Source organism: Homo sapiens, chromosome 14 (assembly GCF_000001405.40).
Source record: "Homo sapiens chromosome 14, GRCh38.p14 Primary Assembly".
NCBI lineage: Eukaryota > Metazoa > Chordata > Mammalia > Primates > Hominidae > Homo > Homo sapiens.
Window position 1 is genome coordinate 59,470,761 of NC_000014.9, and position 13,696 is coordinate 59,484,456.

At 39.9% G+C, this 13,696-nt stretch overlaps 1 protein-coding gene across 14 annotated transcripts in view, besides 1 other annotated feature; it reads right to left on the reverse strand.

Moving 5' to 3' along the window:
* The window catches only part of L3HYPDH (trans-L-3-hydroxyproline dehydratase), a 39,796-nt gene that overhangs the window by 5,283 nt on the left and 20,817 nt on the right, over window positions 1-13,696 (reverse strand). The window contains exons 1-6 of one of the 14 annotated variants that reach the window (XR_007063979.1): window positions 13,049-13,648; window positions 8,422-8,591; window positions 5,332-5,454; window positions 5,109-5,246; window positions 3,679-3,766; window positions 1,846-2,330 (exon numbers count right to left, since the gene is read on the reverse strand). Coding sequence is in view for 8 of the 14 variants with exons in the window: in NM_144581.2 (NP_653182.1) it covers window positions 2,205-2,330; window positions 5,109-5,246; window positions 5,332-5,454; window positions 8,422-8,591; window positions 13,049-13,556 (1,065 nt within the window). In the remaining 6 variants the exon portion in view is untranslated. Of the gene's footprint in view, window positions 1-1,845; window positions 5,247-5,331; window positions 5,455-8,421; window positions 8,592-12,729; window positions 12,816-12,919; window positions 13,649-13,696 lie in introns of those variants that run through there. The other 13 variants (NR_138572.2, XR_943383.3, NR_138574.2 and 10 more) reach the window with 13 other exon arrangements.
* Window positions 10,108-10,207: an enhancer, noted in NCBI's record as "active region_8460". NCBI's record gives its function as "activates an Ori minimal core promoter by ATAC-STARR-seq in GM12878 lymphoblastoid cells {active_cell/tissue: GM12878}" and the evidence as "EXISTENCE:reporter gene assay evidence [ECO:0000049][PMID:35858748]".

The following is a 13,696-nucleotide window of genomic DNA, read 5'->3' on the forward strand; positions in this document are numbered from 1 at the left end:
GCAAAATGGAAGGTGAGAAAATGTTCCCAATGAGGAGACAGTAAGGAATCTAGAAGCTTAAATACCAAGGGAAGGAGTTAGCAGTGACAGCCATCCACAGAGGGAAGGAGGGACAGGGATGTTTGTTTCATTTTGTTTACAATTAGCACATTTAAATACTTAAGAGAAGGAACCAGTGTGGGGGTGGCTGGGGGCGGGGGGGGGGGGAGGGCAGGAGACTGGAGACACCTGAAAAAGGTTAATTGATGAGGCAAGACCCTCACTGAGATGGGAAGGGATAGATGTGAGCAGTATTGAGAAGGCAGAATCAACAGGGCTTTGTGACTGACTAGACATGTGGAGGTCAGAGGAGGAGGAGTTGATTTCCCTAATGTTTTTTAGTTCAAGGGAACCAGGGTGAAGTACAGCAGGAATGAACACTATTGCAAGAGTTCAGCTCTGGTTTGGATTGAAATTTAGGAAGACTTAGGTAATAGCTATTGTTTAATGTTCAAGAAATATAACATTCTTATTAAAGTACTATATCCTAGACCAAGTTATGGCCATCCTATCTTAGAACTGGAGGAAGTGTTGTAGGAAAATACTAGACTTGGAGTCGGAACTCCTAGATTTGCAGCCTCTAAATGACCTTAGGAGAGTTATTTAACATGTTCGACTTGCATCTCCCTTAAATGTATAAATGGGATAAAAACAGTGGCATACCACGGGTAGGGCAGGAATAGTTTCCCCTGGTGGAGTTGATAAAGGGGTGTGCTGTCTTTAGAGAATTTTAGAACAATAATAAAATCAACTAAAAGTCTTTTTAAAAATTATCACCAAATGCTGACAATTCTAAATGAGGTCAGTGAGTAAAACTACCCCCTACCCTGATGGCCATGGAATCATGCATTTCTGAATGTACTTCAGTATGTACCTGATAGATTATAAAATGCTACAAAATGTAATTTTTAAACAATTTCCTTCAAATTCATGTGACTTGTGAGATTTGGAGGGAAAATACTGGTTCTGTTTTTATTTTTTTTAAAAAGTATAGCAAATCTGATCTGCAAAAATTATTTGGTCATATTGTTAGTGATGTCATTTTTTTTGAGATAAGTGATTTATTTACCACAGAATTCTGTGGAGAATGAGTGAAAAACATCCTGTTTTTGTGTAACAGAGAAATAAACATTAACATGATAGCTTTCCTTTTGTTCAGGTAATTAAATCACAGACCTAATAATAAGGCCTATACAGACTCTCTGGGTGATAAAGCCTGTTAAATGAATTAATTACTTCAGTTTCTGGATGCTCCAAAATAAAATACTATTACCTATCTCACAAAAGACTCTACTGAATTCTCAGGGAGCGTCACATCTTAGAATATTTTAATGCTTCAGCTATTTTTAACAGGCTCATAGGAAGTATTAACTAGAAGGAATGCCAATAGTAAGCATTTATTTCATGTTTTAAATCTACCTAGCATGCAGCTGATAGAGTATGAGACTCATTCCATTGTAAGGATTCACTGCTTAATTTCTACTGTATATCTGTATTTTAATAATGCAATAAGCAACCCCTTTTATAAAAGCCCTGAAGATATAGCAAAAGTCTGATTACTAGTTGGTCTTCTCAGCATCAGTCTCTGATACTTCAGTACCTGTGGATGTAGAAGCTGGGCTTTGTGCCACAGAGAACACCCTGGCAGCAGCTATAACAAAGAAGCTGACTCCAGCCCCATCCTTCCCAGGCTGTTGTGCTAAGTGTTGAGTACTTTATAATAATCCATCTCCTTTACATGCTGCTTATAGAGAGGGCATTATTCTACTCAAAAAAATGGAAGACAAAAATAATGAGCTTGTAAAGTTCAGTTAAATTCCACATATTATTCGAAGAGCCTTTAATACAAAATATGATATTAATAGTAATTACTATAGAGCAATATTTTAAAAGTAACTACTGTTTTAATTTTACCTGATACGTTAATCACTAGAAAAAGACTCTGAATTTCTGGCATTTTGTATGCTAGACATAAGTGATATTTATACAAATACAGTTGCAAATACGAGGTATAATGACTTTATATTTAGCCACAGGGTAGTATTTTACAAAGAATGAGAGTTAGTTTATATGTATAATTTATTTGTTTTCATATAATTTAGAGAAAACAGTCCTTAAGGATAATGATTACTTTAAAAAGAAAGCCCTTAAAATCATGGAAGAAGTCACTTGAGAAGAAATCCATCCCTCAATGGGTCGTCATCTTCTATTATAAAGCTTGCTGTACCCGTGTAATGGGCTTGTCCTGATACTTCCACTATAACAGCTTTAAAATCACCACATTTCGCTTCCTGAAAAAAGATGAAGGGAGTATACTATCAAAATATTGCACTCGTATTATATCTGGCTTGAAAACTGTACTCTTGACTTTTATCATGTGAAGGAAAGGCCAAGGGTTAATCCTATGGGCCAGGGAAGGTTTTTAAGGAGAATGACATGGTCAGACTTGTGTTTTAGATAACTGTAGCTGTAAAGTGGGGATCAAACTGGAGAAGAGAGAGACAAGAGACCCAGAAACATGTTAAGAGATAACCTCAATTCACTGAATGATTGATTCCAGAGTCACTATGGGAGTTTTCAGTGAAGATGGAGAAGGGGAATATATACTAACATAGAGATAGTTTGGAGGTAGAACTGATAGGCCTCTTGATCAATGCATGTGGGAATTGAGGACTAGCAATAAGTTAATTATAACCATAGTTTCTAGCTTGGAAATGATGCTAGTGATGCCATTAAACACAATGGGGAGAGAAAGGAAGAGCACATTTGAGAAAGGAAGAAAGGAAGAACTTTTTAACAAGGTGAGTTTGAGACACCTCTGGGACAGTCATTTAGAGATGAGTATAATAAACAGTTGGGATTAAGAGCGTTATATTCAGAAAGACATACAGGGTAGGTAGTCAGGGCAGGGATAAACATTTGGGAGTCATCATCAGTAGATGGTTGAGAACTGAAGCCTAGGAAGTGGATGAAATTGCCCAGCAGCATCAAACTGTAGAAGAGATGAGAAGGAAGGTGGGGATGAAGTGACGGTAACATCTAAATGGAAGGACAGGGAAAGGAAGCTGCAGCAGGGGAAGAAACTGAGAAGGTACCATCAGGGAGCCTGGACGGGCCCACACAGACAGGGAGAGAGCATGATGCAAGTGAAGACATTCTGGCAAGCATGATCAATAACTATAAAACAAGTAACTGGAAACATTAACTTCAGCATATCTTTTTATGTTCTAATTTTTAAAAGAATAATAACTGAAGCTAAAGGTAAAATGTCAAATATTGTTAGGGTATAATACTTTATCTTTTTATATCTTTTTATAAAGCTGCTGTAGTGTGACAGGTCCTTCACCAGGTTATGTAAGGGTGTATGTCCACTGCTTGAACCCTGAAGGCTGGGGGGTAAGCCAAGGGCATGGTGCCCAGCCAAGAAGCAGGTATCCCTGAGAACCCAAATATCCCAGAGAATATCTGGGAACATACCAAGGAAAACAGTCCTATCACACATACACAGTAGGCAAAGAGCCAGAAAATTAGCTTAAAAGCAGCTTAGAGTCAGGAGGCAGGATGGGTCTCCACAGTTGTTCAGCTGCTTCCCAGGAGTGCCTTATATGGAAGTTCTAATAAATGCATCTACTTGCCAACCTGGACTTGTCTGAGTCATTCTTTGGTCTCTCGGCTCCCTCTCTATTTGGGGGGACATTGCAATCCCAGATTCTTCTCATAACAGCTCCTATAATATAAAGCCTCATTGACCTTTTGCTTTGTCTGACAGCAATATAATATAATGCTTAACAGCATGTGGTCTGTTCAGAGACCCACCTTCATGACCTGGATCTGCTACTCACTAACTAACCTCTGGTAAATTACCTAACTTCTCCAATTCTCCGTTTTATCATCTATTGAAAAACGATAATAACAGCACAGTACTGACCTTGTAGGATTCTTGTGAGGATTAAATGAGATGGCATGTATCAAGTGCTTAGCTTGGAAACTGATGCACAGTGAAGTATCCAATAAATGTATGTTGTTATTTTTATGTTCCATTTCAGATTTTGAAGACAGTATGTTCCAAATTTTTGCATACAACATAAATGGTTTCACATGTTTCAGATCACTATATGATGTAGAGATCCTTAAGGAAACTCTAATATTCAGAAACACCAAATCTTAAAAACAGCTATATTAGGATAGATTGTTTGCTATGTTAAAGGACTCTTTATGAGTAGAATAATTTACTGAATGTAGATCATTCTGTAGTAGATTTCATTTACTACTGAGATAAGATTCATTACTTAGCTGTTAGCACATTTAAAATTTTATTCCATTACAAAAATTTGATGTTCCACAACTTTTCAGGGCTTTCACATCCTATTATATCAAATAAAACACTATTATAAAATAAAACAAAAAAACAAAAAAAAACCCCAAATCCTAATGGTTCTCAAACCTTTTGGTCTTAGGACCCTTTTATACCTTAAGATTTGAGGACCCCAAAGAGTTTTTCTTTATATAAGTTATATCTATCAATATTTACTGTATTAGGAATTGGATATATCTGTTCATTACTTCATTTTAAAAATAACCCATTATACATTAACATATGAATAACACATTTTTGTGAAAATAACTGTTTGCCAAAACAAAAAAAATTATGAGAAAAGTGGCATTGTTTGATATTTTTGCAAACCTGTTTCATGTCTGGCTTAACAGAAGACAACTAGGTTCTCATATCTAGCTTCTGCATTCAATTGGTTGGGTTATCACATATCACATCGTAGCCTCTGAAGAACCCCACTGTACACTCTTGAGAGAATGAGAGTGAAAAGCAAATAATGTCATTATTATGAACACAGTTTTGACCCTCTGAACCCATGGAAAGGACCTTAGGGGCCCGCTGGGGCCCCAAGACCACACTGGATAACCAATGTCCTAGTTGAAAAGAAGTTTTTACAGGCCTGCTTTAAAATTCTCTTCTGAGAGCTGAGTGAAGAAATTTATCAAACACCCAACTCAGGCCTCTCCAGTCTCATGAGTGACACATTTATAAATAAGAAGCTAAGGGTGCCACTTACCCTCACAGCTTTCCCTGTGAATACTGAGCCAGTTGCACTGCTTTTGAAGGCTCTCATCTGGTTCAGTTCCAGAAGCCCTTTGTGATACTGTAAGGCAATTCGGGCTGTCACTCCTGAGCCAGTGGGACTTCTGTCAACCTGTTTCAGAATAAATGAAGACAGAATGTTCATAGTGTGTTCCATATTACCTGGCTTTTGTCCCTAAACATTACAGTTTTAATACCTGTTCATCTGCAAAAACACAAATGTTGGTGGTTGGTTCCTTGGTATAAGCATCTTTTCCATCTGTTAATATAGTTCCATATAAAAAGGCAAGGTCTTCACTATCAGGATGATTAATTTTAAACTGCAAGTAACAAAAAAAGATCACATGCAAAATAAATATTTTGATTCAAATTTATAAATAATGCAGATGGGTCATTCTTAGACATAACTTTTTAATCCTTATCATTTTTAAAATACCTTTTTGGGCAACGTATACTAATTGCTAGAAATTATGTCTTTGTCTAGATGAAGAAACATAGTTTTACTGCAATTTATAATTCTTATCATACTTTGAGTCCCTTCTAAGGAAGCTGTCCTGCATATAGCCTTTGCTAAAAAAGCAGTCCTATTTTATACACCCCTCCCACCCCAAATACACATAGTCTTTGCAGCACTGACCCCAGGATGGTCAATCCACAGGCTGGCGATGGCTGCTCAAACAGGATGAGCTAAGGCAATCATAGTCTTATTCTCAGGAGCTTAAGGAGGATAATGTGGGAAAATCAGGCTCTGAGTATCTAGAGCTGAAGTTAACACCAATGATAGAGACAAAGGCTGTGAGAGGATATAACATTCTGTAAGAATGCAGAAACTATTAGGCAAGAGAAACAATTGGAGGAAAAAAAGATTTATTGTAGACGATGAAGTCAGTTGATTCATCAAAAAGCAGCAGATATGCACACAAAGAAGCAGGCACTGGCAGGGTAGCTAAGTCACTCAATGGTAGATTCAGGCCCAAATATGCAAAGCTACTTGTTCTTGGAAGTCTAGTTCTTTAACTTTTCCTGGATTTCTGCAAACATTTACAGTATGACTGAGATTGCTATAATCTGACTTCCCTTGTATATGCTTACAATTAGTACTTTCTACTTCCAGTTACATGTCATTTAAAGCAATGGAACAGCTTTGGGTTCTTAACATCCAAAGAGTCCATCTGAAACCAAGTTAAAGCGGCCTGCAGATTGAATCTTTGTTCTCCATCCTCTTAAAGTGATACGCCCCACCTCCACTATAGCACATTCCAACATAACACTGTTCACAGGTATGCTCGCTTCCCCAACTGGAGCTAGCTCCTCAAAGGTGGGGTTTGTTCTTTCTTCGAGTCTCCAGGATCTAGCAGAATGTCTAACATATATACAGTATGTTTGTGGTAAATGTTTGTTAAAAGAGTGAATGAATTAAGATGAATTTATATTAACTTTAACTCTCCATCCCCATGGCCTTTTCCTAAATCTGCTTCAGCAGTGTGAATAGTCAACAGTTCACAGAGTAATTAATTGTACTGTCTGATACATCAATAACAGAACTTGTCCTCATTTTTCTCAGAATCCTTCCTCCCTCAAAGTCCACCCCTTGCCATCTTGTTGAGTTCAAACTCAAATGAGAAGTACAAAATTACACCTTTTATTAAGATATCCATGACTTTTTCTCTTGAATTCATGAAAAATTAGGAGAAATTATTTTGTGCCAAATTGTTAACTCAGACTATTAGCTGTCCTGCTTAATGGAACAGAAAACTGATGTAAATTCAGAGCTTCAAAAGTTGCTATCATAATATAATTGCACATATTGGTACTGGCAGTACCAGAAAAATAATTTAGAATACTGATACAGTGTATATTCTCATTTTAAGTTATAAATTATTTTAAAATAAAGCTTCAGAAAATGATAATTATTCGTACATTAGACACTATCTTACACAAGTTACTTTTTACTACTAATAAATTCTCACATACTAAATTCTCACGTACTAAACATTCAAATACTGTACATGTGTTTTATTTATAGGTCCCAATTTCAAGGTAAAATGTGCTTCACTCGTGCTAGAAGTGAAAGAATATCCTAGAATTATTATCTAAACTGATTTTATCAAATTAGCTTTCCCAAGTAAAAACTAGAGTTATTTAAGTAGTTATTTGAGTAACTTCTTAGCAATGTAGGAAAAAAATAATAGGAATTAATGTTCTCTATGAAATAAGAAAAAGGCTTAAATCTATTCTGTACACTATATTTTACATTTATTATTTTCAAGTTTAACAGAATGACCACACACATGCATTTAAAATTTGCAGAATTCTATAAATATATTTCTACACATTTAAGGAACTATAAACTATATTAGTATGTATGTATTATTAAATTTAGTAACTGCTAGGTGTGGTGGCTCACACCTGTAATCCCAACACTTTGGGAGGCCGAGCTGGGAGAATCACTTGAGGCCAGGAGTTTGAGGCCATCCTGGGCAACATAGTGACATCCTGTCTCTATATAAACACACACACACACTCACACAAACACAGATTTAGCTGGGTGTGATGGGGCATGCCTGTGGTCCCAGTTACTCTGGAGGCTGAGGCAGAAGCATCATTTTGAGCCTGGGAATTTGAAGTTACAGTAAGCTATGATCACACCACTGCACTACAGCCTGGGTGACAGAGCAAGACCCTGTCTCAAAAAAAATAATATTATCATTTACTGAACATTTACTATTGGCCAGACACTACTCTAAGTCCTTTACATGTATTGACTTATTTCATTCTCACAACCCTACAAAGCAGGTATTTTTTAATTTCCATTTTGCAGACAGGAAAACTGAGGCATATGGAGGTTACGTAACTTGCCCAAGGTTATATACGTTACCAGTGGTAAAGCTAGAACTCATAGATAGTTTTGCTCTAGAGCAGGAATGTCCAATCTTTTGGCTTCTCTGGGCCACACTGGGAGAAGAATTGTCTTGGGCCACACATAAGATACACTAACACTAACGAGAGCTGATGAGCTAAAAAAAAATTGCAAAAAAACTCATAATGTTTTAAGAAAGTTTACAAAATTTGTGTTGGGCCACATTCAAAGCCATCCTGGGCTGCATGTGGCTCACAGGCCACGGGTGGGACAAGCTTGCTCTAGAGCCTAAGATTTTAATAAGTACCCTATTCTTAGTACTATTAATAATTTAAACATCATTTAATTTTCTTTATAGACATAATAATGTATATTTCCTCCATGCCACAGAGAAGGGAATTGGTTATGAAGGCAGAGTATTACTGACCTGAGCTTTCACTGCCTCTGTCACTGCACTCGCTGCATCCACAAGGTCCCTGGTCTTTGCAGAACAAATGTCTAGTCCTAACTTTTCAGCAGTAACAAATGCATAAAATGCACCGCCATATGCAATGTCCACCATCACCTTTCCATGTCCAGGAACATCCACCATGAGATCTAAAAAAAAGATGTGTTTGGAAAGAAGATGTGTTTGTTAATAAGTATTTTAGCAATAAAATTCAAAGGATTTTTAATATGTTTATTTTTCAAGAGGGATGTTCTTTTCCTATCATAAAAATAATGAAGTAAAAATCCGTTTTTTAAATGAATAAGCATCGAGTGAATAATAGCTAGATGCATCATTCTATTTTTAACTTGATGATTGCAGAAGTTATAAACTAAAGCCATGCTTTCCCTAACTCATACAGACATATTCATTAACTTCCCTGAGGATCTTTTCTAGGAAACACCCCTGAGGCCGAGAGAGGGAAACCCAAGGGCATCCCTGTGAACACTAAGAAGGAAAATGTCTATTCCCCACTTGTACTATGAGAGATGGTTTAAAATAGTGAGGGTCTTGGATCCTATTTACAAATCAATTTTCTTCAGCCGTAATGTCAAAACATAAATTTTAATAAAAGATTTTTCTATATAAATTATATACACTTATCTACATGTTTTCATCTCCTTAAGGTATCCTGCAGGCAAACACAGAAAAATGCCATTGTAGAATCATTGACTGCTACAGCATCATTTTGCACCAGGGTTTTTATTTGAGCATTTTAAGTCTCAACATCCCCAAAGTTTCACCTGAAGGTCAGTAGTTTGAAATCTTGAATCTGTATTTCCAAAGAAAGGGGGCTGGGTGATGTTTATTTCGCCCCTTCTCAAATTTTCCTCTTCCCTAATTTAAGCTAGCTTGGTGATCACTGCCTTTTAGGGAAGCCTATGGCAGGGGAGAAAGCTTGTCTTTCATGTTTTTATTTTAGGGAAGCCTAAGCTCTCAGGGGAAAGACATCTGTTGGCAAAGGAGTGTCCTGAAGGGAGAAATATTTCTCCTAGAGATAAATTTTTTCTCCCTTGAGAAGAGTGGAGGCTGAAGGTCCTTAGTGCAGAGAGGACGTGTGTTAACTTCCCCCAGGGCACCACAGGAGCAGGAGTGAAGAAACAGAGGATGGGGAGGCAGTGCAGAGGGCAAGGACCAGGTAGGGTGGGGCAGCCAATGCTCCTGCTCCACTTTGCTGGTTAACTGTGTAAGCTGAGGACTGAAGTGCCATCCTCTCCAAGGCCACAGCACTTTTAAGAAACCTTTGCTCACACATATCAGGAAAGGGGACAACACATGGAGTGATGAGGCTAAGTGAACCAAAAGGACAGAGTAGAGTTTCAGCTTCAGAAATTAAGTTTTGGGAAAGAAAATATATCTTGTGTTCCTGAGTTTTCATACAAGGTCATACAAAGATATCAGTATGCTATCAGTCCACAGAAGGCTATCAGTATGCTATTAGTCCACACTAGTCCACAGAAGCCCTTTTAACCCATGATGTGTTAAAACAGAGCAAGTTTATAATCAAAAGAGTAAAACATGCTGTGGATTGTAACAACAAAACTGAATAAAAAATGTCTTTATCTTGATGCTGGCGCAACATGAAAAGCAAGTTTAATGAAAAGAGAATGGGCAAGTTGATAGAAATGAGGGACTGCTGGAAGGTGGAAAGCTAAAGTGAGGGTGAAGATCAGCACTTACCAGGAGACACAGGTGACGGTCCCAGGGTTCAGTCGGCCTGCCCTCTTCCCTTGATTGTAACAACTAAATGGGGCATTGGCCACCAATCCCGGGACCAGGATGAAATTGGGAAGCTGGTTCAGGAGAAGTCATCCCTGAGCCTACAATCATTTCCCTGGCCCAACCTTTCTAGAATCTTGGGTCTGGTTTTCTTAGGGTGGGCAGTTGGGTAGGGTGCTACACCTCACTGAGTTTCAGTTTCCTTTTCTTTAAAATGGACCAAATTTCCTTTAAAGTTACTCTTGTCCACCAATTATCTGTGACTATTTCATTTTTTAATCACTAAATTACTAACATTAAAAATTAAGATATTTATTTCACCCATGAGTACTTCCTATGTGGCAGGTCTTTACATACACTAGCCCCTTAATTCATTACATTAGTGCCTTAATTACTACAGCCCTGAGAGGTAGGTACTGTTTTACTTACTATCTTTACATTATTCCCTGGTTTACCCACTAAATAAGTGGCAGAGCTTGGGGTCAAACCCAGGACCAGGTGACTCCAAAGCCCAAACCCTTTCTACTAAAATATACAACCTCTATCCAGAACACAATCCAAAATCTAAGGGTTTTTCTTTTCTTCTATACAAGCATATCACTGAAATTTCAATTTGATTTACTTTGCTCAAGATTTAGTGAGCACCTACTATGTGCCGATTACTGTAGAAGATACGAGAAGTACAAGGAATAAAACATAGGCTTTTCCCCTTCTTGGAGTTTAGTTGGACAAGACAGATTTTAAAATGCTTTAAAATACACTAAGCACTATTCTAGAAAATTGAAACATATCTCCTTAAACTACAAAAAATTTTAAGGATGAGAGGGAAGCAATATGATAGGCCAGGGTTCCAACCCTAGTTCTGCCATTAGTGTGGCTTTGGTGTCTTGTGCAAACTGTAACTGCTATTTCTCCTAAAAGAGTTGTTTTGAAAATTCCACGTATGGGGAGTTCCTGGCACAGATTAGGGACTCGAAAGCCAAAACTTTAATTTCCAGTGGCAATAGGTTTCTCAAGAGGACCAGATGTTTACATTTGTCAATCAGCATATTCTTCTCCAAATTTCATTTATTTAGTTACTCATTCAACAAACATTCATTGACTGACTACTCTTCTAGGCACTTAGAATACTGTGAACAAGAAAGAGTTTGCATTTTAGCCTGGTGGGGTGGAGATGAACTCAGCAACCCTCTGAGGTGGGTACTGTTGTCATCCTCATTTTGCAGACTGTGATACTGAGGCATGGACTCTCTAGCACAAGGTCACTGAGATGGGGAGAGGTGGGGCAGTGACCTTGAACACTATGTCTGCCTTGTATGCATTTTTCAAAGTAGAGAATATAGCATTTCATTTTCTTAACTCAGTGACCATTAATGCCCACTAATCATTGTACTGTCATACAGTGATGCTCTCAGGAACTACTGAGAGGAACTACTGAGGTCAAGTGGTTGACTGACCCTGCCCTAACTGACCCAGAAATGAGATGTAGTTTGTGTTCCTGCTGCCAGCTGCCATTTCCTACAGAAGTCTAGAGTGTTTCTACTCTGCTGCTGGAGTTGCCTAGGGGGAATTCTGGTAGCCACGCTAGTTAAACTGTTGAGGTTTTAAAAATGGAATCGTAAACATAAATTCTGTCTCCCTCAAGTGGCCTCCCAGTCTGGAAGTGACACCATTCTCTGGGAAAATGGCATCAATTTCTCCAGAGGCATTCTTCGTTAACTCGTGGATTTCAGCTGCCTAAGGTTGCTCTAAAAGTGCCTGTTCTATCAGTTATCATTCATAATCAGGCTAATCTGAAACCTAGTTCTTCAGGGGGAATCAAGGTCCAACTTTCTAACAGATGATTTGCATGGCTTGAAGATTTTTAAGAAAAGGATAACTCTATTCCTGGTAAACTGGCTCCTGGCTCACTTCCAGTCACAATGACTAAAGCATTCTTACTGATAGAATTCAGCTCCTGGGAGGTAGTAGTCTGATGAGAAACCAGATGCCAGCTTGCCAGGTCATCCCTCCTGTAAGGGTTATGGTTATAGAGATGCCCTGCTTTACATGATAAGCTGTACAAGGATCTGTACTAGAGAATCCAGCAAAACCTTTTAATGGCTCAATAGGCCTAGGGAACTTTAGCGATCATATAAACCTTGCAATCTATCTCCAGGAATACAGTATCTTGCATACTCTCATTTAATCCTAACAAAAAAACTCTATGAGGGAAAAGAAGAAACACAGGCACAGAGAGATTAAGTAATTTGCCTAAGGTTGCACAGCTTTAGGGGGTTATCAGGATTTGAAACCAGGCAATGTGTGTTCCTGTTCTTAAAGAAAAGCAACATTCGTATCTTAATGATTTATAAACTGCTTTGTTCATTCATTCTCATTTAATTCTTCAAAGAAGTGGGGGAGGTGAGGAAAGGAGACCAGGTTTAGTAACTTATTAAGTGTGATTCTGTGTCTACCAAGCATATTCTCAGCCAGCCTGGAACCCTGGTACATTGGCTGTTCTTCGCTCTTTCCTTGACCCCACCGTACCTTGCTTTATCCACCGGTGAAATCTCTAGGAATGCCTCACCAGTGCAGAGGGAGGCGCTGAGTCAGGGTAACACGCAATTCCTCGCTCCTCAAGGGTCTCCCAAAACCACAGGCGGATGGGAGTCAGGGAAAATCGAAATTACACGCACCAAATACGCAAGGCTGCTGACACACGTTGGCAGTGATTTACCTTTCTATTAATTGCAAGGTTTCGCGGAGTAGGTTAGTTGCCAGAGTTCCAGCCCAGAAAAACCGTTAATGTAGTTAGTCGCGTCCCGGTTGCAGCTCTGCCCTGGGCTGGAAAGGTCCCGCCCATTACCTGTGGCCAGCACGAAGGCCGGGACGCTGTGGAAGCGCACCGGTCCGTGGCTGCGGCCGTCCTCGCATGCCACGAAGGCGGTCACCAGCCCGCAGGGGCAGTGGATATTGACGCGGGCCTCGCGGGTGCCCGCAGGGGGCGCCGGCACAAGCCCGAAGTCCAAAGCGAAGCGGCCCAGCGCCAGCACTGCGTGGCCGCACATGGAGCTGTAGCCCTCGTTGTGCAGGAACAGGACGCCCAGATGCGCGTCCGGCAGCTCGCTCGGGACTAGGACCGCCCCGTACATGTCCCGGTGCCCTCGGGGCTCGAACATGAGCCGTCGCCGCACGTGGTCAAGGTGCTGGCGCATGTAGCGCCGCTTGGCCAGCAGGGTGGGCCCAGACACCTCCGGACACCCCGCCAGCACGATACGCAAGGGCTCGCCGCCCGTGTGCATGTCCACCACCGACAGCACCGGCGTCCCTGGATCATGCGGGGGCAGCCGGGGCACCGCCAGCGCGCTCTCCATGGTCTGCGTCGGGGGAGACGAGTACGGTCCCGCAGCTATGGCTTCAAGCCCGACCCTCACCCACTGACTCCGCGGGAGGAGGGCGGGACGCTAACCAGCCACGTCCGGGGGGCGGGGTCTCGGAGCCTAAACCCGGAAGC